Source organism: Homo sapiens, chromosome 4 (assembly GCF_000001405.40).
Source record: "Homo sapiens chromosome 4, GRCh38.p14 Primary Assembly".
Classification (NCBI taxonomy): Eukaryota; Metazoa; Chordata; class Mammalia; order Primates; family Hominidae; genus Homo; species Homo sapiens.
In genome coordinates this window covers 41,432,070-41,458,450 of record NC_000004.12, presented here as the reverse complement: position 1 = coordinate 41,458,450, position 26,381 = coordinate 41,432,070, and the positions used below count along the sequence as shown (strand labels likewise).

Genomic DNA, 26,381 nt, shown 5'->3' with positions numbered 1-26,381 from the left:
TCTCCTTGCCCAAACCCAAACTGAACTATGTGCTGTTTCCTGCACATATGTGATTAGTATTATTCCACCCCTATTCAATTACTAGGTACCTCTCAAGATCTGTTCAAACTTTGATTTAATTTCAACATATTTATTTGGTTTTTTTACAAGTCACTCATTTTAATCATTTTGTAGTAGCAAATAAATTGGAAGCAAGATTAATGTGCAAAAAGAAGGAGATTGGCTTGTTACAAGTTCTTCCTTTCATCGAGTGAGATACTATGCATCCATTTTTTTAAAAATTTTGTGGGTACATAGCAGGTGTATGAGGTACATAAGAAGTTTTGATACAAGCATACGATGCATAATAATTACATCAGGGTAAATGGGGTCCATCATCTCAAGCATTTATCCTTTCTTTGTGTTACAAACAATCCAATTATACTGTTTTAGTCATCTTATCAACATACTTATTAATTGCCTCCTATTTTCAAAATATCTTTCTCTTTCTTGCCCTTCCCTGAGGTTTCCCATTTCGTAGTTCCTCATCTATTTATCCATTATTTGCCTTATAGTCTAGTTATGTTCTTATTTTAATACCTTTACTAAATAACAAAGTCTTTGAAGGCAAAGATGCTATTTCAAGGATTTTTTTTAAATCTCCAGTCAGATGATTTGCAAATGTTTTCTGAATGGATTTGCATAACTGTTCACAAATGCAGCATCATGTGATTTCTTAAAAGAAATGAAAGTCAAAGGCCATGGCTTTGTCCAAAGTCTACCTTCACCTTCGTTAGGGATGTGGCCTCCAGAGCCAAACTGCACACTGCCTACGTTCTAACTCAGCCCCAGCACTGAGTGACTCTATGATTTGGGCTAAGCTACTTAGCCTCCCTGGGCCACTGTTTTTTCACTTATAAAATAAAAATAATAAAACTACTTGCTTCAGTACTATTGGGAGGATTAAATGAGCAATTTATGTAAAGTACTTACAACAGTGCCTAGGACAGAAAAAATGCTCAAAAAATGTTAGTTCTTATTAATATCACATCACCTCTCAAGCCAATGGTATAATGGACCCAGTTAAAATCCACATAATTTCCCTACGTTATATAAAAATATCAATCCATAATTCTCCTCAAGGTCTCTTTCTAGAGGCCTCCAGAAAATAAACTGTCTATACCTATTCAACAAGATAATCAAATTTATTACAAGCAGAATAATGTCAGTAAGACTGTGAAAGCAAGATGAAATTAATTGCCAATTGAGAAATTAAGGTATATATTTCAGAAAACTTGTCTAAATTGAGAGCTATGTATCTAATAAACTCAAGAGATTTGTTACATCTACTGTAGAGAGCACACGTGCATTTTCTCTGTATCTAACCAAAGTATAAGTTCTGAATTTTCAGGTTTGATATGCCAGGTTCCAAGTAGAATTTCCCTTTGTGCCCTCAAGCTCTGATGGTCTTAGCCTCTGTGACAGAGACTGCTGCTCTTACATAGGAAGAGAATATTGTCTTCACACCTTGAAACTCAGCCCCCATACTGTGAGGGAGCCCGGGCCACATGGAGAGGCCACATGTCGGTATGGTGGTTGACAGTCTCGCTAAAGTCTCAGCTGACCTGTAGCATCGACCACCAGACATGTGAGCAAACAAGCTTCAGATGATTCCAGCCCCAAACCTCTGAGCTGACCCAGCTGACAGTGAGTGGAACAGACAAGCTAGCCCTGCAGAACTCTGACCAAATTGCTGGTCTGTGAGTGAAACAAATGCTGTCATTGTTTTCAGCCACTGTTTTGCCATTGAAAGTAATGCTAAAAAGCACAATTATTTTGCACCAACCTAATAACTAGAGCAGATGGTTTGTTATAAAGCAGCAGCCCATTGATAAAGGCAGCATCTCCTCCCTCCCTCTGCCTTAGCGTCTCTGTCAAAACTGCAACACTGGTCAAAGAAGATGGTCAAGGGCATACAGTATTGTTTTCAATCTAGATGAGTCTGATAAAAAAGCAATTTTGTCTGATTAGTTGCTTAAGACAAGGCATATTACTTGGTGTACCCAGGGAATTTGCAATTGCTCTTTTGGGCATGAAAACATCACACACATGCACACGCACACACCCAAAACAATCAAACATAATAAGAAAAATGAGAAAATTTGCATCAAAGATGCAAATAAAACTATCCAGGGTGAGGCCAAAAACAAAAATTGACATAAACCTAAAATTTAAGCTGTGTGAGAAATATAAACCTAGCCATGTTTCTGGAAAATGGCCATTAAAGCTCATGCAGCTATGGAGTCGTAAGTTTTACAACCTCAGTAGGCCAAATCGTCTCACTGACAAACTCACTATTGCCATCAAAGATACTGATCCAGCTGTTTCACTGGTATTACAAGAACTCATGCAGGCAAAAACAAACAAACAAAACAAACAAACAAAAAAAAGTGTGTCTCACATCCAGGAGTTAAATAAAATTGGAAATAAAAGAATGTTGAAATGCAAATTCACTAACCAGGTAAGTAATTTTACTAGTCATTTTAAAGGAACAAGAGATTTCTTATGTGTTAGTATCAAGTCAGAAGGTACCACCATTGGATATCTTGTCTGAGGTCGAAGAGTCTTTCTTTAACAACAGGTTAATGTAACTACCATGATTAACAAGACTCTTGACATTACAGACTAACTACAGCAGTAACAATTTAGGATTTGAATAAGTCACCAAACTCAAAACATTAAATTAACTTGTGCGCTGAGTCGAAGCAACTAAATGCAGAGGTCCTCATCAGCATGTTTGCCATACAGCTGTTTTATTTGGGTTTTTTTGTTTTTTGTTTTTTTGTTTTTTGAGTCATTTTAGGCAGCGTATGAAATAACTCTAGCAGACAACTCAATAAATGATGCCAACCACCTGGAAATAGCTGAGCGTTTAAGCCACATTCTTAGAAGCTGATTAGAAAGAAACAATGAAAGAGCATCTGCAGCTGACCTTGCACCCAGCAGGATGAAAGCAGCGTCCTCTTCAAATACCCATTCTGACTTGTAAAAACCCAGCTGAGCAGTGTTTCTCCCCACTCCATACAATCCAGCCCCACCCTCTCTGCCCCTGGACTGTTTCCAAACTAATCACTCCTGGCTCACCCCTCTCCTTTTAGAGTTAAGGGGAACACACCCAGATGTGGTCAACCAGAATTTGCTCACAATATTGTTTGATACATTAAATAACAAATCATCCTTTTATCTAAAGCCATACTTTTAAACACTATAATTGATAGCAGCCTCCCTTTCTTCATTTCAGAATGATCTGCTATTGTTTTCCTTTTAATCTGGAAAAGTTGCATTCTAGAGAATCAACTACACATAAATATTTATAATACTCAAACCCATAGAGAAATACAGTACATTTTATGACTGTATCTATGGTATTCATGTCAATAACCCCAACTAATCAGTCAAAGAAGCATGTCTTCATGAAATTTGACCACACAAACACACACACACACACACACACACACACACACACACACATGTACGCATACAAGCACAGCTATAAAACTCTCAGGTATACATTTTCTGTGCCATCAAAGCATTTAATGCAGAATCAGAGAAGGTCAGGATTTCGATCTCTCATCTTCTCACCACTGAGCATTGGATTGCCCTTAAACCATACCTACCATGCATTGAAAACAGCCTAATAATCAGATCAGATTCACAAGTGCTTTCTAGAAAATAGCTTGCTGTGAATGTTGACGTGCCCTGCATAGCTTGCGTCTCTGCTTTATCTTTTAGCAATAGCTGTGAAATGTGCACTGCCACTAGATACACTACTTTGACACATACTCAGGGGACTGTTTGAATGCTACAGATTTCTCCCAGAGCTTGGGGAAACACACCAGGAGGGGTGCGGCATCCTCCAGCACAGAACGAACAGCTGGCCACACCTACTCTCAAATATGCAGTAGTTTAGCTCCCAGATGCACATTCTCTCTCTCTCCCTCTCTCTCTCTCTCTCTCTCTCCCCCTCATCATCCACCCATTTGAAAAACACTCCATTTTTATTAATTTCCATTAGCAAACATAAAATTTTTTTCAGAGTGCAAGTGGAAGTCTTTAAACAATTTCTTTACCAACTAATGAAACAGAAATCATTTTAGTTTAATAAAACAGTGATCAAAGAGAATCACTTGGCTGTTTAATTTACGCATTCCCTTATTTACCAGATTTTATCCCAGTCCTGGAAGAGATTTACATTGTAGCAGTGGATAAAAACATTACATGTGCATGTAACTGCTAATGATGGTGAGGGTCATGAAGGGAGCATGAAGGCACTTACGGGAGAGAATGTGGTGAGGGTGGGGGGCATTGAAAGAGAATAACAGGGCACAGGGAGATTGATTGACATGAAGTAGGAGGGGAGGACCAGATAGGCTTCTCCAAAGCAGTGATATTTAAACTTAGATAGGAAGGATGACTTGGTGTTGACCAGAGTAAGAGTGTTGGAGGAGGCGGGGCAAGGAGAGAAGGGTAGAAGAGGGGAGGCAGATGGAAAACGAACAGAAGCGTGGAAAAAGAAAGACTGTTCCCTTCAGAGAAATGAGATAAATGGAGGCACTCAGGCTGGAGATTCATCCTAAGAAACAAGCTTTAGATAACAAATAAGTGAGTGACATGAGAGAGTATTAATACCTTTAATGTAGGAAGAGGTTATACAAGCAAGACAAATATCCCAAAAGAGAAAAGAGCAAAGGATATAAACAGAAATCTCACAAAATCAATACATACATGCAGTTGACCCTTGAATAACACAGGTTTGAACTTCACGAGTCCAGCTACATGTCAATTTTCTTCCGCCTCTGCCATCCCTGAAACAACAAGACCAACTCCTCCTCTTCCTCCTCAGCCTGCTGAAAGTGAAGGCAATGAGGATAAAGACTTTATGATGATCCACTTCCACTTAATGGATAGTAAATATATTTCCTCTTCCTTATGATTTTCTAAAGAACATTTTCTTTTCTTTAGCTTACTTTATTGTAAGAATACAGTATATAATACACATAACATACAAAATATATGTTAACTGACTATGTTATCAGTAAGGCTTCTGGTCAATAGTGGGCTATTAGCAGTTAAGTTTGAGCAGAGTCAACAGTTATACACAGATTTTTGACTAGGTGGGGTTCAGTGCCCATAATCCCTGCATTGTTCAAGGGCCAACTGTATATGTGTGTGTGTATCTATATATACGGTATCTCATAATTACCATTTTTTCCCTAACCCACTGACAAAGATGAAGAGGTTGGACAATCCCAGCACTGGGGCAGGTGTGGGGTGAAAAGTCCTCTTGTTTGCTGCAGTCCTTCTAGAGCACCACCTGGCCACCGATAAACAACCTACGTTAGGTACATATCCTTTGTGTCAGCAACAGCACTGAGTATCATCAAGTAAGAAGGGTGTGAATGATTTCCCAGAACACAGCAGGCACTGAAGTATTCACTCAAATATTTATCAAGCACCTAAAACATACATGGCACCGGTACCGTGGGTGCTGCAAAGATGAGGAAGATCTTCTCCACCCTCAAGAACCAGCTAATCTATTGAGGGCAACAGAAAAGTACACATTTAGATATAAGACATGGTGAATATTAAAAAGGCACAAAAACTGCTATTAACAACAGAGGACCCCAAAAAAGGAAGAGCCATCTGATTTTGAGGGATTGAGGAAGGCTTTGCAGAAGATTTGGCATGTGAAACTGGCCTTGCGGTGCAGAAGAAGGAAGGAGGTGTTGGATTTCAGGAACTCCTGAGAGTGGAATGGTGAACAAACAGGCACTATCCCTGCCTCTTAGAGTCTACAGACTGGCAAGGGCATTAAACAAGTATGATGAGAAGACAAAGTTCAGGGAGCTAGGAGAATATCATAAAGGCAATTATCAAAAAATACAACAAAGCCCAGTGTTGATGAGGATGCAGGGAACTGAAACTGAAATATAGCACTGGTAGAAGGATAAGTTGGCATAATCACTTTGAAAAGCGACTGACCACCTCTCACACAGGGACTTGTACATCCAGAGACAATGAAGTGCTCTAGGGGCCATTGGCAGGGAAAATATTCTAGGTATCCGTGATGAAGAAATCCATGTACCAAACAGCTATAATGAAGGCTTATGAAAGGAAATAAGGCCAAGTCTTCAAATGAGGGCTGGAAACAGTTAAAAACATGAAGCTCAGCTTTATTTGATAAATTTACATAAATAAAATAAGGAAGGAACTTCAAAAAGGAGAGAAGATGTGGCTGGGCATGGTTGCCATAGTAGCAAAAACATGCTTTTGCCTTTTTGTCAGTTCTTTCAATATGATACTGGAGGGCAGTGGGGAGAGGCTCTACAGACTAGAGCTGGAGCCTAGGGGAAGAGCCAAGCGGGGACTAAGTTGTTTGATCCTGAGAAGAAAAGAAGAAAGAGTTTATCCAGAAAGCGTGCCTAGGGCTTATGAGGAGGCAAAGTGGTGAATGAAGCCTCCCCTGAGAAACAAGTCCAACTGGCAGAGGCTTCCCAGCATGGAGACATCTGGAAAAAAGGTAAGAAGATGGGGCAGGTGGGAGCTTAGCTAAAGGGATGAAATTTTGTGCAGAATAAAAAAGACGAAAGGAAAGGAAAGAATGCAATAATTGAACATACAGTGCTACCCCGAAGGTAGAGGTTTTAACTGAGAACTAAAGTAACAAACATCAAGGCAAGTGTTTGAAACCAGGAACTGCAAATCTGTGAATTGCAAAGGTTTCCCATTCTTTCAAATTTAAAATGTTTCTGCTTTCAGCTGTAGGATTTGAGATGAAAGACGCAATGTTGAGTGTTTGCACAATAGGCCAATCCTCAAATATTCCTGAACCAGCACTCCATGGGGGAGAAGGGAGAGAGGAGAGGTCCCGGGGGTGGGAAAGACTCTCAAGAGTTGGAAATGCAACAGAATATAGCAGGACGGGGGATCTGTGAGCCTTCTTTCGACCATAAAAATAAAAGTGTTTTAAAATAATTACCCTTTCGGGCCGGGCACGGTGGCTCATGCCTGTAATCCCAGCACTTTGGGAGGCCGAGGCAGGCAGATTACCTGAGGTCAGGAGTTTGAGATCAGCCTGACCAACATGGAGAAAACCTGTCTCTACCAAAAATACAAAAAAAAAAAAAAATTAGCCAGGCGTGGTGGCACATCCCTGTAATCTCAGCTACTCGGGAGGCTGAGGCAGGAGAATAGCTTGAACCCGGGAGGCGGAGGTTGCGGTGAGCCAAGATCGTGCCATTGCACTCCAGCCTGGGCACCAAGAGTGAAACTCCATCTCAAAAAATAAATAAATAAAAATAAAATAATTACCCTTTTAGGGTGTTTCTTATTTTTTCCATGTAATGTAAATTTTCAATCATCTGTATTTCTAAAGACTAAAGAAGGAAAAGGAGACCTTGGTGGTAATGAGTTTATTTTATGCAGTCTTTTCTCATAATAGTATTTCAGCTTCTACACTTCCTCTATGATGACCCATATACACAAAGGGAATTATCAAATTGAGAACTCAATCTGTCCTGATAAAGGACAATCTTAGACAAATTCAAGTATGTAAGTACCCAAACTGTACAGCAACATCCCCTACAACTTTTTTTTTTTTTTTTTTTTTTTTTGAGAGAGAGAGAGTCTTGCTCTATGGCCCAGGTTAGAGTGAAGTGGTGTGATCTCAGCTCACTGCAACCTCTGCCTACCGGGTTCAAACAATTCTCCTGCCTCAGCCTCCTGAGTAGCTGGGACTACAGTTGCTCGCCACCATGCCCAGCTAATTTTTGTATTTTCAGTAGAGACGGGATTTCACCACATTGACCAGGCGAACTCCTGACCTCAAGTGATCCGCCCGCCTCAGCCTCCCAAAGTGCTGGGATTACAGGTGTGAGCCACCACACCTGGCCATCATCCCCTACAACTTTTACGTTGCTAAATTAAATGTTCTTTAACTTTGATTCCCTCTACTCATGCAGCAAATTTACTCCACAGACGCTCATGAAGTGCCAACTATATGCCAGTGACCCCACTCCATTCTCTTACCTTCCCTAATGTGATTTACCCATATTCTTCCAGGTCTGATCCCATTTTACAAATATTCTAACTTTCTAAGGCCCCAAACCCAATAAATCTATAAAATTGACTTGATGAAATAAATATAAATAAATCTTAAATAAAAAGAGAAATATATCTTGTTCCTAACTAGGAAGATTTGACATTATAAGTGTATCAAATCTCCCTAATAATATATAACTTTAATTGTGTGTCAATCAAATGTTATGGACTGAATTGTGCGCCACTCTGCAAACTCATATGAAGTCGTAACCCCCAGTACCTTCAGAATGTGACCTTATCTGGAAATGGGGTCATTACAGATGTAATTTGTTAAGCTACAATGAGGTCACACTGGAATAAGGTGGGCCTCTAATCCAATGTGACTGGTGCCATCATAAAGGGGGAATCTGGGTACACAGGCAGGCATATGGGGAGAATGTCAGGTGAACCTGAAGAAGGCCAAGAAGCCTGGCACAGATCCTTCCCCACAGCCCTCAGAAGACATCAACCCTGCCAACACTCTGCTTTTGGACTTCCAGCCTCCAGAACTGCTGAGATGATAAATCCTGTTGTTCCAGCCACCCACTTGGTGGTAGTTTGTTACAGCAGCTCTAGCAAACTCATATGATTAGTGCCCAATCAATAAGCTTTAATGTTTGGAGATCTGAGGTTCAAGTTACTTCACAATCTGGTCTCAATCCATTTTTCTGGATTTTTTTAACTATGACCAAAAAGTGGCATCGACATTCTAGGAATCTATCCCTAGGAAGACATGCGGGAAAGTGCAAAGATTCATGTATAAGGGAGAATATACTTATCAACACTGCTGTAATAAGAAAGTAAGAGAGAGAGAAGGTGGGGAGAAAATGTAAGCAAGGTACAAGTCCAATCCCTGGGGCCTAAAATGGGAAACAAACAAATAAATATATTGTTACAATAAACAGGTATAGCTGTTAAGGGGAAAAGGAGGTAGGCCCATCTAGCTGGGCTTCAGAGAGTAAGGAAAACTAGCAGAAGAGGTAAACCTGGGCATATGCTGTGTGAATTAGACCAAGTTCGCCAGAAAGACGGGGACAGGGAGAACATTCCACGTGGAGGGAAAGTCAAGATAGTGGGGTGTCATCGGGAGAGAAAAGCCAGCATCTGGGAGCACTGCCTGGAGTTCTGCAAGGCCAGAGAGCAAGGAGTGGGTTGGAAGGGTGCCAGGGGATGAGAGAGAGAGGTCCAGGGGTCAGCTGAGCCCAGACCAAACTGGGCCTGTATACGCTAACTGAAGGCCATCAAAACGGGAGGGAGGCCCACAGAGGCTGAGTCACAGGGGCGTGTGGAGAAAATACCAGCTTTTTTTTTTTACTAAGTGCTGAACTCTGTGTGTGTTTGATAATGTAATACTGTATCAGTACAGTGGCATACATCATTTACAAATGTTTTATTTTCTTTTTTTAAAGCCTGAAATAGAAGTCAACAAATGTATTTCCATCTACGTAAATTGGGGGTACATGCTCAAAAGCTTTTTTACTGAATATTTAATAAATAAAGAAAGTTTGGAGACCACCGTATCAGCCTACAGATGCCAAAGTTCATCTTTTCTCTCGAGGTGTCCGCTGACGCTACAGCCTCAGCCCAAGAAAGGAAAGGTTGGGAAATGATAACTAAAGGGTACAAGGTCTCCTTTCAAAGTCATAAAAATAATCCAAAATTGATATGGGTGATGCTTGCACAGCTCTGTGAATATACTGAAAAGCATGATTTGCATATTTTAAATTGATAAAATGTGTGTTATATGAATTATTTCTCAATAAAACTGTTACCAAAAAAATCTTTAAAAAAAAAAAATTAATGAATTGTGCTTCCTTACGCACTGACATACTGCTTCTGATTCTTGGGTCAGTGCAGGCCAAGGAGAGAGCACTGTGATAAATATCTGTGAGGAAACAGACAAGCTCAGGCCCTGAACCTGCAGGTATAATGTAACTGCAGAATCAGAGACTCAAAAGCTGTGGTTGAGTCTTCGAGCCTTCTCAATCAGACATCACCCTAGCCTCAACCAGTCAGCCAGACCTCTCCAATTTGGGGTGGGATTTTGCTGGTCCCACCAACCTAAAGCGAACCTAAAGCTGAAGCTCTAGGAGAAATACAGGAAAGTTACCTCCTACATCATGACTGCAGACACCTCTGTGTAGACACACAAGAGAGAGCAATAATGCAAAAGCTCCCAAAAGCTCCTACATTCTACTCTGCATTTTCTACTCCATTTCATTTTTTTAAAGTGTTACTCCCAGGCTGGGCATGGTGGCTCACTCCTATAATCCCAGCACTTTGGGAGGCCAAGGCAGGCAGATCACCTGAGGTCAGGAGTTTGAGACCAGCCTGGCCAACATGGCAAAACCATGTTTCTACTAAAAACACAAAAATTAGCCAGGCGTGGTGGTGCATGCCTGTAATCCCAGCTACTAGGCAGGCTGATGCAGGAGAATCACTTGAACCCAGGAGGCAGAGGTTGCAGTCAGCGGAAATCGCGCCACTGCACTCCAGACTGGGAGACAGAGGGAGACCCTGTCTCAAAAACGAAAAAAAAATGCTACTCCCAACCCACTAGCTTGATTTCATTACCCTCGTGAAGGTCACATCCAGCAGTGTGAAAATCACTGTTCTAGAGGTAAGTTGGTAAGACAGACAGACATTTGTCTCGATATTCTCGTCTCCATGGTCCCGCATTTTCAGGATCCAGAATTAATCTACTCAACAAGAATTTTCCTTCAGTTTAATAAAAGATGTGACGATTAACATATGTTCTGTATTACGAAAAACAGATTTTTAAGAGCAGATGTGCAATTCCCAGCTCCATTACTTTATTAAAAAAGAATATTTGGTTTTCCTTGAAGATTCCATGAATCACAGTCATCTAGTTTGGATTGACATCACTGCATTAATAATAAAAACAGCATTTTGCTGCCCAAGGTTTGTCTTCTTTCCAGATATAGACAAGAACAGTGATCCTGTTAAAGAAGCAGATATCAGTATTTAACCCAACTTACCAAAAGTCCTTGTCTTTTCTCAAAACACTCGCTCCTCTTGAAATGCAATGAATAAATTTATTTGTTGTTGGGTTTTGGGAGCGCTGTTTGTTTGTTGTTGAGACAGGGTCTCGCTCTATCACTCAGGCTGGAGTGGTACAGTTAGTGGCCATCTCAGCTCACTGCAGCCTCAAGCTCCTGGGCTCAGGCGATTTTCCCACGTCAGCCTCCTGAGTAACTAGGACTACAGGCACATGCCACCATGCCCAGCTAATTTTTTATATTTTTAGTAGAGACAGGGTTTCACCATGTTGCCCGGGTTGGTCTCAAACTCCTGGGCTCAAGTGATCTGCCTGCCTCAGCCTCCCAAAGTGCAGGAGTTACAGACAGGCATGAGCCACCACACCTGGCCCATTGAATAAATTTAACCTTCAAATTTGTCTCTAATGTCTCCACGACACTGATCTATACCAGAATCTTTAACTCAGAATCACACACATACACATCCTTAAGTCATTCTTCCTTTTCCTTTCATGATAATTCAAATTTCTGAGGCCACTTGCCACTTTTAAAGAAACTTTGAAAGATCATGAAAAATATTAAGGACTTTTATCATTTATCTTTATATAATGTGTTACCAATTGGATTTATATACAGGCTTTTCCTAGTTTAATTGTAAACACATGGTTTATTTCTTTAAATTCCTCCTAGTTGCCTAAGGGTTCATGTAGTTGTCTTCCAACACTTACTCAGCACATCTATCCATTTGTTCACCATTCCAGAAAGGTTAGAGGATGTGTGGCACATTCACTCATTAGCTAGTATAAAATAAAGCAATCAGCATTCAAAGCTCACTTCATTCCAGCTATTCCCATCTGTCCTGTGAACACTGACTTCTAAAAGTTATGGTTCCATTAACTACGTATATTTGTGAATCTCTGAGAATGTCTTTCCCTTCCCTAATGGTTAGAAATCTAGTCTTTGATCTATTTTAACAAACACTTTTGTCGGACACTAATAGACTCAGAGGTTTCAAAACTGCAACAGGACTAGGAAGGTGAGTCTAAATCCCCTATACCCTGCTGCATTGCCCCTTACTCCCCTCCCCTCATCATGCCACCCAAATCTCACAGGCCCCATCTGTGCTTCAAAAACCAACGACTAGCAGAATAGAGATTTTTCTCCCCACGATGTTCCAATTGAACCTGCAGTTGACAATCATCCTCCTCATCTTCAGTTTTGAAAATAGACTGACAGCAACCCTCAAACCCTTTGACAAGAAGAACCTATTTTAACAAAATTACCCAATGTACTGAGGCTTCAGACCGTAATCCTTTAGGGAAACTTCGTTCTGTTATATTTGAGCTTTTAGTTCTTTCCACAATTTCAATTCTCTAGGAACTCATTCACAGAGGAAAATAAAACCCACTTTAAGTTGATATATATTTATCTCAGCCACAAAGAGCCAAAGTCCTCCAAAGAGCATTTGTTTCACTGAACCATTCTGGGAATGCATCCTGGAAGAGAAAGGTACTGCCAAGACCAACAGATAATAAAGCAAGATAGAAAGGTCAGTAGCTACCCTCATCTCCAGAATGCAAAGAAACTCTAATCTCAGGCCATCAGTGCAAAATTAATTTCTATTTTTAGGCTAAATAAATTCCATTTGAAAGTATCGTGGAAAGATACAGGTCACTGGATAAACAGATAAGGAAACCTTCACATACTTCTATGCTTTTCTTGAATACCTAATTGGAGGAACTAATTGTAACAATCCATTTTACTGTTTTTCTTGAAAATATTAGCAGTGCTTCAGTTGCAATTTTCATTGCCAAAAAATTTGAGGACAATTCCACAGGTGCCTATGATCCTTCTTGCTTTATGGTTACATTACAGGGGTTCGTCTCAGAAGATGGCAATGGCTTTCTGCCTAAGTAAAGCTTGGGAACATAGAATGGTAAAAGTCCACCTTTCATGGACAATCAATCAACTGCTGTCAATCAGAGGTTTGAGATATAAATAGGCTTCCTACACGTTTAATAAAGAATGGGGGCCGTGCACTGTGGCTCACGCCTGTAATCCCAGCACTTTGGGAGGCTGAGGCAGGTGGATCACGAGGTCAGGAGATCAAGACCATCCTGGCCAACATGGTGAAACTCTGTTTCTACTAAAAATATAAAAATTAGCCAGGCGTGGCGGTGTGCACCTGTAGTTCCAGCTACTCGGGAGGCTGAGGCAGGAGAATTGCTTGAACCTGGGAGGTGGAGGTTGCAGTGAGCCAAGATTGCGCCACTGCACTCCAGCCTGGGTGTCTCAAAAAAAAAAAAAAAAAAAGAATGGGAAAATGTTGTTGAATATTCTCTTCATGTGCCTACAAAAGCACACAGTGGTTATTGAGCAAGATGCTGAGCTAGAAGAAGTTGGTGACTTTGTCAGTAAATAACTCAGCTCTTTAACCTCAGTCTGGTAGCCTGGCCATCACATCAGACAGTGGATGGTCAGATTTCGGCAAAATATTGCCCATAAGCAGATTTCTTTTATGGGGACTATATCCTTAACCACTAGAGAAGAGATTATCCTAAGAGCTATTCAAATCCCCAATGTTGAGCAAGACTGAAAATCCCATTGCTGTGATGACCAACTTAGGTTGCCCCTCTTTAGGGCTGATGGAACCTCATGTTGTTGTACTTGGCAAGGGCTTATGCTTGTATTGGCACTTTTGTTCTCACAGTTATTTGGGAAGGGAAAGACCACTGTGATATGTTGACCACCCTAATGAGAGGTAGAGATTCCCAGACAAAGACGCCATTGTGTTGGCCAATGAAGAGACACCACAGGCACGGCCTGACGCCAACCAAATAGTTCAAGGTCCACTGACCTACCCTTAAGGTCAAACTCATATATTAATATAGATTTTCCTCAATATTCTGTAATTGTATTTCAGTCTTACCTTCTCAATGAAACATTAATAAACTTATGCTATGCCCTGCACTCTATATATGTGTGTGTGTGTGTGTGTGTGTGTGTGTGTGTGTGTGTGTATATATATACACACACACTCACACACATACACATACATATATTTCAGTCATATGTAATATGACTGAAAAGTCACCAAAAAGTCGTTTAGGAGTAGTAAAAACAGAATTTTTATACAAAGAATACCTGCCAGAACATAAACTCAAACCAAATGAGTCTCTACATCTTTAGAACTATTCAGACTCACAGAAATTGGAAGCACTCTTCAATCTCTGAGCCATCTCTTGCACACATTTCAGCTATCTTCAGTCCCACGGACAATACCTATCCAGATAGGAATATCTGCACTGTCCATGATTACAGAGTTTTCTCTGACAGATGTAGCCTCTTCTATGATTCAGTTTTATTTAAATCTAGCCAGCTTGCCTTTCCTTGAGTCTACGAGTTTTAAGTGAGCATATTCTTCAAGACATCAAGACAAAGTCAGCAATATAGACAGAAATTGCTGAGTTGCTTATATGAATAGTTCTCTAGCCCTGAGGGAAGGCAAACTCCCTCACATCCTTCACAGGCTGGAATCAGATGCTCAGCAGCACTTGTTCCATGGGCCTCTCTCATCCGAGCTGCTCCCTTGGTTAACTGAGAACATTCCATTTTATCTGGCAGAAGAGCTTTCCTTCACCAGGTGTATTTCTGATGTTTACAGAAAAGAGTTTAGCCATTGCTTACAAATACTGTAAATTAACAGATCTTCGTTTCTCCTAGGAAATGGTACTTTTGGATCACATGTGAAGGTTTAAAAAAATACAGCTGCCCTGGCTTCCTGAAATCTGGAAAGCTTTACAGCATGAAAGAAGAATGGTTTCATTGGATAATAATCCATCTGCAATAAGAGCAAAGTCCATACTACTATTAAATGTGTTTATCCACTGATTCATCTGAATATTCCTTGATTTGCTTTAAGTACCATAATCAAATGTTGTTATTTAATTCAACAACGATTCAGGAAAAGCAATTTGGAATCTCACAGGTGGTCTGAATTCACTGTGTTGGTTACATTTGATGCACTTCCCAGAGCAGAAAGAAAAAAAACATCCAGATTGCGCCACTGCAGTCCGCAGTCCGGCCTGGGCGACAGAGCGAGACTCCGTCTCAAAAAAAAAAAAAAAAAAAAAAAAAAAAAGAAAAAAAACATCCAATATGATTTTTTTTTCTCTTTACCTTGGAGCATAAGACATGAAGCTTTTATGAGGGAAATCATTCCCCAAAAGTGAAACTGTTGCTTGCTAGCTTATGTTTCCATTTAAACAAATCTCTAACTAAACACACATGAAAAATGATAGGACCTTTCCTTTGATAAAAATCTAGCATCTAATATTGGCAGGCAAAGTTTAAGTCACTTCCTGAATTGCTAAACAAACAGCTACACAAAAGAATCACACAGTACATTTGTATGTTTCCCTTTCATTTACTTAGCAATTCCTTTCTTCATATTAAAAATCTTAGTTTTCCAGCAATTATTGTTTACCCTGGTTAAATGACTGATGTATAATAATGTAATTACATGTGATACAATAGAGGGAGGAAGGGGTAGGAGATGTGTGCAGTTTAAATAATTAAAATTCAATCCATAGTTAATTTCCATACTGCATCATTATAACAAGTGTGCATCTGTGTGAAGCTATATTTAGATTTCTGAGTGTTACAGAGTCTTTTTCTTTGTCAACACAGTCAACCAAAATGGAGAGAGAGTACCTGTTTGAAAAATGCAGGTGATTTCAACCCACAATGGTAACCCACACAGATGAGTTCTCAACTATCATGAAATCAGCTAGTTGGTTAACTAGTTGGTTATACACCCAATTAATTCCTTCATCCATTTGCTCCATGAATACATATTTGAGCCATGTGTGTGCTTGGGAATATGCAAAGCATGTATACAAAAGTGGGCAAGAATAGACACTGATGCTAAGTGGCCAAACTTGTGTTTTTCGTAAAATGCATCTTTGATGGTTTGTTCCAGTCTATCTGTCCTTTTTTATTTATTTTTATTTTTATTTTTATTTATGTATTTTTGAGACAGGGTCTGGCTCTGTTGCCCAGGCTGGAAGGCAGTAACATAATCATGGCTCACTGCAGCCTCAACCTCCCAGGCTCAAGTGATCCTCTCGCATCAGCCTCCCAAGTAGCTGAAACTACAGGTGCATACCACCACACCTGGCTAATTTTTGTATTTTCTGTAGAGATGCAGTTTCGCCATGTTGCCCAGACTGGTCTTGATCTGCCCACCTCGGCCTCCCAAATTGCTGGGATTACAGGCATGAGCTACCACACCCAGGCTATTTTAAAATTAATGTCTAAGAGAAAGAATCACAGCTTTTGTGGTCTCCATGTTCCCACTAACCCAAGAGTTTAGGGACAGAGAGAGACAAAGAAGCAAAATCATTTCTGAGTCTAATTACTCTCTATTTCCTTAGCAGATATCCCACATCAAAAACAAACGACGACAGCAAAAACCTATAAAATTAATATTGCTTATACCATTATTAGTTTATACTAGCAAACTACTTTATATTAGCAAAGTAGATATTTCATATTAACTTCTTAAAAAGACTTTCAATCTTTAAGAAGTTAAAATAAAAACCAAGAAAAAGAAAAAGAGTATTAGACACAACTTTGTAACCTAAGCTCCTAAATGAAATGGCACTATTCAGAAATCACAACTCCCCACCATTTAGAAATGCATTTTTAAAATATCTGTGAAAGATCCTGTTTCTAATTTGTTTTCCAAATCCCATGCATATTTTAGACGTTGAGGGTGGGGAGGAAGAAAAATTCCAAATATTTAATGCAAATTCCACTCCCACCTTCATTTTTCCTCATATTAAAACCAAGGCACAATGGTGTCTTTACCAAAGTGAAAAAAAAATGACCGACTCAAGAGAGAGAATGCCCTAAGTTTTTAAGCCTTTCTTTACAGAAACTCAGAAATGGGACAATAAGAAAGAGGATTGGCCAAGGGAACTAAGACAAATAGCAATAATTTTAAAAATACATTAATTAGATCTTTGCTTAAAACATTGCTAATAGATTTAAATTATAAAGAAGCTGTTTGGTTTTCATTTTTCATTGAAATATAAGCAAATTTCATTTTTCATTGATTACTATAAAACTAAGATTTCTACATCTTCTTCTAGTAAATTCATTTCTACTCAAGACAGAAGCTGAATTAAAAATCCCTAGCAATACATGGCATTTTTGACTTGTCACAGCAAAGTGTTGGGAAGAGGGGTTCATGTCATTCATACCTACACATGCAATACCAAGGGAAAGAGATCTCCATACCATGAAACAGAAGTAAAATCAAACATGAAGGAAAAGAATCTGTGAACAATCAGAATCAAAGACTTAAGACCAAACTTCTTATTCTGCCACATATTCATATTCAGTATCATTTTAAAAGCTTTTGAGAACATCATTAATTTCTGTTATATTTAGTCACCATAGAAATAGGTCTGCTATATTATCAATAGTAGACTATGGGCCAGGTGCGGTGGCTTATACCTATAATCCCAGCACTTTGGAGAGGCAGAGGCAGGTGGATCACCTGAGGTCAGGAGTTCGAGACCAGGTTGGCCAACATGGCAAAACCCCACCTCTACTAAAAATACAAAAATTAGCCGGGCGCGGTGGTGTGCACCTGTAGTCCTGGTTACTTGGGAGGCTGAGGCAGGAGAATCACTTAAACCTGGGAGGTGGAGGTTGCAGTAAGCCAAGATTGCGCCACTGCACTCCAGCCTGGGAGCCAGAGTGAGACTCTGTCTCAAACAAAGAAATAAATAAATAATAGACCATGGTATTTTTTCTGTATTTTATAGAACATAAAATTCCAGCTTATTATAATATCTCAGGCCAAAGAAACCCAATGGTACCATTTGGGGACATTTACCAATACTGGTTCACATAACAAATTGCTCTGCTAAGTACAGGCAGTATTCACACTTCTGACAGGTTTTATTCTTGAGGAAAGCATTGAAGTCAAAAATATTTCTGTAGAATGTGATTTTCTCATAGAAACATTGTTTTAGTTAGATACTAGTTTCCTGATTAAAGCCCTTAAAAATAAAATTACTACAAAGACCCTATTTAATCACCTAGAAAAGATATAACTAAGCATTAAACAGTATTTTTGTTAAACTTGTTAATTATAGAGGGGAAACTAATAAAATTAATGCTCAAGTTTATTTAATAATTTTTAAAATGTCTTCTTGTTACTTCTTCCTTTCCTCCAGCAGCTGTAAATTACACAGTATAGGAATACTACCTTAATCATGAAGCATCAAGCAAAATGCCTAGTGTACAGGAGATGTTCAGTAAGGAAGCAGAACAAATCACCAAGTGAATTAATAAAGTTTTCTGGAGAAACTCATGCAAGGATGTTGCCCTCCTCCTTTTTGTTTTTTCTTTTTTTTGAGATGGAGTTTTGCCCTGTCGCCCAGGCTGGACTACAATGGCATGATCTCGGCTCACTGCAACCTCTGCCTCCCGGGTTCAAGTGATTCTCCTGCCTCAGCCTCCAGAGCAGCAGGGATGATAGGGGCACATTACCATGCCCGCCTCATTTTTTGTATCTTTAGTAGAGACTGGGTTTCACCATGTTGGCCAGGCTGTTCTCTAACTCCTGACCTCGTGATCTGCCCACCTCAGCCTCCCAAAGTGCTGGGATTCCAAGCGTGACACACTGCACCCAGCCCACTTTTTTAAGAAATTTTTTAATTCTTTTTTTTTTAATGAGACAGGGTCTTGCTCTGTCATCCAGGCTGCAGTGCAATGGCACAATCACAACTCACTGCAGCCTTGACCTCCAGGGCTCACACAATCCTCCAACTTCAGCTTCCTGAGCTGGGACAACAGGCACACACCACCACACCCAGCTAATTCCTGTATTTTTTATAGAGATGGGGGTTTCACCATGTTGCCCAGGCTGGTCTCAAACTCCTGGGCTCAAGCGATCCATGCACCTTGGCCTTCCAAAGTGGGATTACAGGCATGAGCCACGGCGCTGGCCTGCCCTCCCCTTTTTGAGCCCCTTTCTACCAGGCAAATTGTGCTTGTTGTAGGTATTAGAAATCACTTGGTGTTTTTCCTATAGTGGACACTGCAATTATGTCCCCATCTGACTTCAGAACAAAAATCTGCATGTACTGAATCAGAACATGACTTGCTGGAATTCAAGTTTGTCCTGGAGAGAATAAGAAAACCACACCATCTGCACGCTGAAGGGTACATCTTCCACATATTCTATTCCTAGCCTCCCAACTGCACTCCCAATGCTTCTCTTTAGTCAAAGGAGTCTGGCTTTTCCCTGACAGATGCTCCCCTCACCCTTAAACCAAAGCAGCATTATTTCAAGCATGATCTGTGAATTGATCACTGCTGGTCCATGGCATTGTACATTACAGGATTGATAATCCACATTTACAGCAGTCTGGCCATCGCCACCACATCCAAGCCATGTGATGGCAGGACTCATCTTGCTGAGCAAGATGTAAATCTGTTTAGGTGTTGGCCAACTGGCCTGGGCGAGGTGCATGTGATGCAAGCAGCATGCTGATCCTGTGCAGTCAGCCCTGTATTACAGCGGATTGGAAATTTAAAAAACAAAAGCAAAACAAAAAAAAAAAATAGTCCTTCACTGCAGAAGTTTGAAAAGCTCTGTAATAAAAAGGCACAAGCCAGCCAGGCGCAGTGGCTCACGCTGGTAATCCCAGCACTTTGGGAGGCCGAGGCGGGTAGATCGCTTGAGGCCAGGAGTTCAAGATCAGCCTGGCCAACACAGTGAAACCCTGTCTCTACTAAAAATACAAAAATTAGCCAGGTGTCGTGGCGGGAGGCTGAGGCAGGAGAATTGCTTGAACCTGGGAAATGGAGGCTGCAGTGAGCCGAGATTATGTCCAGCCTGGGCAACAGAGCAAGACTCTGTCTCAAAAAAAAAAAAAGAAAAGAAAAGAAAAATTAAAAGGCACAAGCACTGTAATCAGACAGGACCAGGTATGAGTCTTTGCTCCACTACTCACCTGACGATGTGGCCTGAACAAGTTCCTTTACTTCTCTGAACCTCCATTCTCTCATCTTTGCAGATATGGATGATGGAGGGTACATCTCTGTTCAATGAGCAGCTTCCTCATGCCATGAAATGGGCAATTTTAATATCTGTTCAATATGAGGGTCAATCACACACTTGAATATGCTTTGGATGTGGTTTGTTCCACAGCTATGTAGAAAAAAAAAGGTAGCTGATTGGGGAAAACAGCTATCCTGCAATAAAACAATGAATGCCCCCAGCACTTTCTCATATTCCAGGTAGAAGATATTTTAGTAACAAATTCAGTGCATCATGGAATGGATATGGATATGATAATCCAGTGGTCACTGCAGGGTCCAGACTTAAACCACATGTGACAATTTACTTTGGGCCATTGTGAAAGCAAAAAATTCTCAACTGCATCCAACAACAGCTAAAGACCTAAGAACAGTTTTTGGGAACTGCTTTAATGACTTACAGTCATAAACAAACCAAAAGAAAAAAAACAAAAAAGAAGATGCCCAGGAGAAGAAGAGGGAAAAAATTGAATTTACATGAAACAGAGAGGTAAACACAGATAACTTCAACTAGCAGGCATAGGGCCCTCCTGGCCACTCTGTAAATGAAAAACAAAAACCTTTTCTCATTATTTTGAAGTCCACCTACAACACACCAAGCACAGTATCTAGCAAAAGCAGACAGCAAATAAAAGTTCCCTTTGGATCCTTCCCATGCTACGTATGCCTGTAAAATTGTGCTTTAATTCTTTCCTCTTTAAGTTAATTCCACTACAGTTTCCTTTCTATCTGTTACAAATGCCATCTGGGTGGAAGCCTAATGATATGTCAGTGTCACCACTTACAATGGTTCAGAAATCTTTCTCACTCTCAATCAGCAACAGTCCCCAAGGACTGCTGGCTAAAAACAGGAAAGCCCAGTAATGCCAAGGCTGATTTATAACATCAGCATCAAGCTCCAGCTCAGGCTCCTTGCACACTTCTGGCTCCTGTTTCACTAGTTGAGTGAGAGGTCACTTGGGTCACGTAGGACCTTACAAGGTTTCTGGGGAGAATAATAGTTTTTCTGTATCCCTTCCTTACAAAAGGCAGCCGATCAGCACTACTGTCTAGACATGCAAAGATATTTTTCATGGACACAAATAGGTTGGTGTTTTGTTTTGTTTTGTTTAAGTGAGAAAGGGATTTACTTTTATTTTAAAGCATGCACACAGCTACAGTAGGCCTTCTGGAAAGCCTTCTTAAAAGAAGATTTGTGTGTCAAGCTCACATTCAGAAATAACAAAGAGTGCAATGAAAGGGATCTGAGGTCCGTGACAGTATTTGACATATTACCTAGGAGACATTGGAGATGGCTTTCATTTTCAGATTCAAGGATTCACCTTTCACACAGGAAATGCAAAAGACCAGACAAAAACCATGTGTTTTTACCCTAATTTTCTGCTTTATATCTCCTTCGCAAATTTTTTTTTTCAACCAGCTCCATACTTCCAATATATACCCAGACGCTGACAAAATCCTAGTTTCCCATCCTCCACAAGGACTGAAACACACACGAAGGCTCCTTGGGAAGGACCAAAGAGTACACACAGAAATTTGGAAATTTCTGCATTCTGTCTCCAGTCCTGACAGCATCTGTCACACAGATTGCCCTGGTGCCATTATTTTAATCACTTTACATGCTGCTTCTACAATCCCGATGATAAAATGGAAAAGTTGTTTTGTTGGAACTTGTGCTGCAAATAGCACAATGACAATGTCAGGAAAAAATCTCTCACAGCATTAACTGGCTCACAAAGATTATTCTTAATACAAGCTGTCCCCAACATATGGACATTATTTTTTAATGCCCCAGACCCATGAGCAGACCCTAAGTAAGTCTGCAACCCCAGACCCTTCGGTGGGGGCAACTGCTCACTTTTCTAAGTCAGAAAAGCTCAAGGAGAGGTAAACTGGAGGTATACTCATGTTCAGACAAATGTCATGCCATCTCTACACAGGCGGAGAAGTGCGAACAGTGAATAGTTGTGGAGTCCAGGTACCTAGATCTAGGCAAGGAGACAGCTCAAACCACCACCACAATCACCTCCAAAGAGGGAACAAGAATTCCTGGCCTCCTAATTTACAACCCAGAATGTATTTTTTTAATAGAAAAACAAGGTTTAAAGAGATTTTCTTATGGCTCTATGAGCTTTATTAGAACTAAACTTTACAAAAGTAATAAATGAATTGAAAAGTGCCTGTATCATTGAAAGTGGAACAAATATGGTACACTGGTTATTTCTTGAGAAGCTGAGTGAAGTCTTCAAAATAAGGAGGGGACAATTTGAGTCACGTAGTGGCAACTGTTTTATTATTTCTATTATAGGAATCATCATGTCAATAAGTTGCTACAATATAGGACTTCAGAAATAAGATTTTTGAGATACCGAAAGCTTACTCTGTATATAAACTTCTACTTAATACATTTTTATATGAGACCCTGATCTTGCATGATGTTCCCAGACAGTGTCTCTGCAGCTTAGATTAATCCTGCTCAATCATTAACCATTCAACCTGGGCAAAGTTACTGAACTTCACTCCTTACCCCTCAATGTTCTTGCTCATCAAATAGTCAGAAATAATATCTTACTAGGAAAATGAATGGGAGAAAAAATAAAATAGAACTCTATTAGCTTTATTCTGCACTCAAATGAGCAAAGAAATTGTAGCTTCAATGTTTCTAAGTGACTGGTTTAGGACAAGAAGGGTGTATTAGTTTCCTGTGGCTGCTCTAACAAGTTACCACATTAAGTTTAGTGGCTTAAAACCATACAAATTGACTCTTACAGTTCTAGGGGTAGGAAATTTAATGTCCAGATGTTGGCAGGGCTGCCTTCCTTCTGGAGGCTTCGGCACGGGGAACAGGAGGCTTTCCATGCCCTTTCCAGCTTCTAGAGGCCACCTGTTTTCCTTTGCTCATGGTCCCTTCTTCATCGTCGAAATGCATCACTCCAATACCTGGTTCCATCATCATCTCTCCGTTTTCTGTTTCTGATATCCAGTCTCCCTCTTATAAGGACTTCTGTGGTAACATAGGGTCCACTGGGATAACATTGGATAATCTCCTCTTTTTCTGCTTCTGATGTCCAGTCCCCCTCTTATGAGGACTTTTGTGATAACATAGGGTCCACTGAGATAACCTAGGATAATCTCCCCATCTCAGGATCCTTGATTTAACCATATCTGCAAAGTCTCATTTTCCATATAAGATAATATAGCCAGAGGCTCTAAGGATTAAGATATTAACATCCATAGGAAGACTTTATTCAGACTATTGGAAAAAGGGAGACCCAACTGTAGAAAAGTCTGGCAAATATTTACTCCTATGCAATAAATTAAACAGTTCCTTTAGGTTCAGTCTTTTTAGACACCATGCTCAGTCACTCAGATTTCTGTTCATCAAGACAGTATCCAGGGCTGGGTATGGTGGCTCACGCCTGTAATCCCAGCACTTTGGGAGGCCAAGACTGGCGGATCATCTGAGGTCAGGAGTCCAAGACCAGCCTGGCCAACATAGCAAAACCCTGGCTCTACTAAAAATACAAAAGTTAGCCGGGCATGGGGGTGGGCACCTGTAATCCCAGCTACTCAGGAGGCTGAGGCAGGAGAATCTCCTGAACTTGGGAGGTGGAGGTGGCAGTGAGCCAAGATCACACCCCTGCACTCCAGCCTGGGTGACAAAGCAAGACTGTCTCAGGAAAAAAATACCCCAAAAACCAACTGTAACCAGGTGTATGGGGAGAGGGAAGAGTGTCTCCATTATGGTGATGTGAGAGATGGAGAATGCAAATCACATGTTGTCCTCTACATCCTAGCTGCCCTCTGCTGCAAAGCAGCTAGTCTGGGTTGCTGCCTGGCCTGGTGACCATGGGAGTGAAACCGGCTAGCTCTACAACCCTAGATATTCCATGGACATCTGTAGCTGATGTCTACAGCTGGTGGCCAGGGCCTTAGAGTGCCACTGGCTGGCCTCCAGTGGTGCCACAGCCAGCTCTGGGTCCATTCTCCACCCAGTTCCTAGCCTAAGCCCACTGCCTCTTAACTCAGCTGCCTTCTGAGACCTCCCTTGGAAGAATTCCAGAACATCTGGCTCCTTCTGCCATCACACAGGAGCTGAGAGAGCCTTGGTGAGTGCCCTGGGGCCCCTTCCACCTGACCTCACCATTTTGTCCTCTTATGTCACTTGGAAGTGTACCCCTTTTAAGCTGGCATGAAGTTACTCACATAGCAGTGTCTGTCCAGAACCCTAAAAAGAAAGTGGGACAAAACTCTCCTCCGCCCTTGGTGTTCCCACCAGCTAAGACGAGCCCCTCTGCCCTCAGTCCTCCCTCTACTTGTACAATTTGGGCCATCAATTCGTTTCCTCCTATAGGGACATGCCACTCCACCCTTCCAGAAATGGGGTCTATTTCCCCGACTTCCCTCAAATCTGGACTGACTCTAGGGCTTCCTTTGACCAACAGGATATGGTGGAAGTAACATGCTGCCACTTTCAAGCTTGGCCTTAAGAAGACTGACAGCTTTATAATTTAAAAGTTTAAAAAAAAAAAAAAAAGAAGACTAACAGCTTCTGCTTTCTTTTCCTTGAAGGCCAGCTACCTGAGGAAGTCCAACTACCCTGAAACCACCATGCTATGAGGGCGCCCAAACCTGCCAGGTAGAAAGGCCACGTGGAGAAGCACTGAGGTACCAGACATGTGAGAAAAGATGTCTTGGACCTTCCAGCCCAGCCCCGGCACCAACTGAACACAGGGACCAGCCAACACCCCATGGAACAGAATTGAACTAGTCAACTCATGGAATCTTAAGAAACAATAAATTGTTGTTATTTTAAGCCACTAAGTTTGGAGTCATTTCTTATACAGCAATAGGTAATTAAAGCAATCAGAAAAATAAAAAACAAACCATATATACATTCAAGTGTTTCCCCCCCAAAACTGGAATCACAGTGACACAGCACAGCAGTAAGACAGACGCAAAACGACTAGAGTAAGCAGCCATTTCAAAAGAATGCCCGCTCATTTGCAAGGGTTTTGTTGTGCTTTGTTTTTTCACTAAATGCCCTCCCTCATTTAATTCATCTGTAGCCAAAGAACCACTTGCACTACTTTTTTCCTTCTCCAATTAGCATGCAAGGATTTCCCTCATGTTAAGAGAATGTGATATGCAAAGTCACTGGACCACTGTCTTGCATAACAAACCAAAGTCTTTTGACATCAGTGAGAAAATTCCTCAAGAATGCAAAGAACATAATGCCGATTGTTAAGTGTGAAATTCCAGGGTATTAACCCTTTGAGAGATGCTGTCTTGTTCAGTTTTATTTTGGGTTGATCAAAAGGACCGTGAAACTAGATTGGAACATTATGCACCAGACTCCACTGCCTACTTGAAAAAGAATTATACTTGGAACTTGATCTTTTTAAGATCTCCCATATGTCCTGTATTTTAACAATCAGGTTTTAAAACAGGAAGGATCGTTGCCATTGAAAAATGGTGTCCAGCCAAGTAAGCCTCATAATTCAAAGTAAAAATCTCAAACTATAGCTGTCATTCAGGCCTTAATGTTTACCTTAGGAAATGTTTTTAAATGAAAAATTGATGGCAAAGCTTTGCCCAAATGATGCTATTCCCAACAAGGATAGAGACCCATGGATTTACTTGCTAGGACAATTTATTGAGAAAGTTGTCAGGGATGAGAAAAATGAGAGAATAATTCAGACAGGAAGGTACAGCCTATTTGTTTTTCTAGCTTCTATCTTTACCCTTACTTCTCAGTACTAACCCTCCTGTTAGGGATGCAGATCAGGGGCCACCTGTCCACAGAATCTGACGTTATACGTAAAGAGTTACACAAAGGACAGGCTTCCAGGTCTCTAAAGTTCTCTGTTAGGAATCAAGAGCAGCAACACACTCATATTTTAAAGTCATCCAGAAAAGAAGTTTAGACTGTACAAAAAGTCAACAATACACCCTGTTATTTTTAGCTGCCACAATTAATCCACTCAGACAGTGTTCACACAACACGCATCAGCCAGCAATATAACCTCCCTATTTTAAACCCAAATTTATCTGTACTATAGAGCTGAGTGGGGAAAAACAGCAATTTTGAAATCAAACAATCACGGATTTAAATTCCAGTGCTAATCTTACTAAGTATACTGC

At 40.6% G+C, this 26,381-nt stretch overlaps 1 protein-coding gene across 39 annotated transcripts in view, besides 2 other annotated features; it reads right to left on the bottom strand.

Annotated features, from left to right (window-relative positions):
* Positions 1-26,381, bottom strand: part of LIMCH1 (LIM and calponin homology domains 1) — a 340,438-nt gene that overhangs the window by 241,594 nt on the left and 72,463 nt on the right. The gene's annotated exons all lie outside the window — the stretch shown is intronic.
* Positions 24,458-25,161: an enhancer, noted in NCBI's record as "OCT4-NANOG-H3K27ac-H3K4me1 hESC enhancer chr4:41435307-41436010 (GRCh37/hg19 assembly coordinates)". NCBI's record gives its function as "activates a minimal SCP1, AML or CMV promoter by ChIP-STARR-seq in primed H9 embryonic stem cells {active_cell/tissue: H9 hESC(primed)}" and the evidence as "EXISTENCE:reporter gene assay evidence [ECO:0000049][PMID:30033119]".
* Positions 25,162-25,864: an enhancer, noted in NCBI's record as "OCT4-NANOG-H3K27ac hESC enhancer chr4:41434604-41435306 (GRCh37/hg19 assembly coordinates)". NCBI's record gives its function as "activates a minimal SCP1, AML or CMV promoter by ChIP-STARR-seq in primed H9 embryonic stem cells {active_cell/tissue: H9 hESC(primed)}" and the evidence as "EXISTENCE:reporter gene assay evidence [ECO:0000049][PMID:30033119]".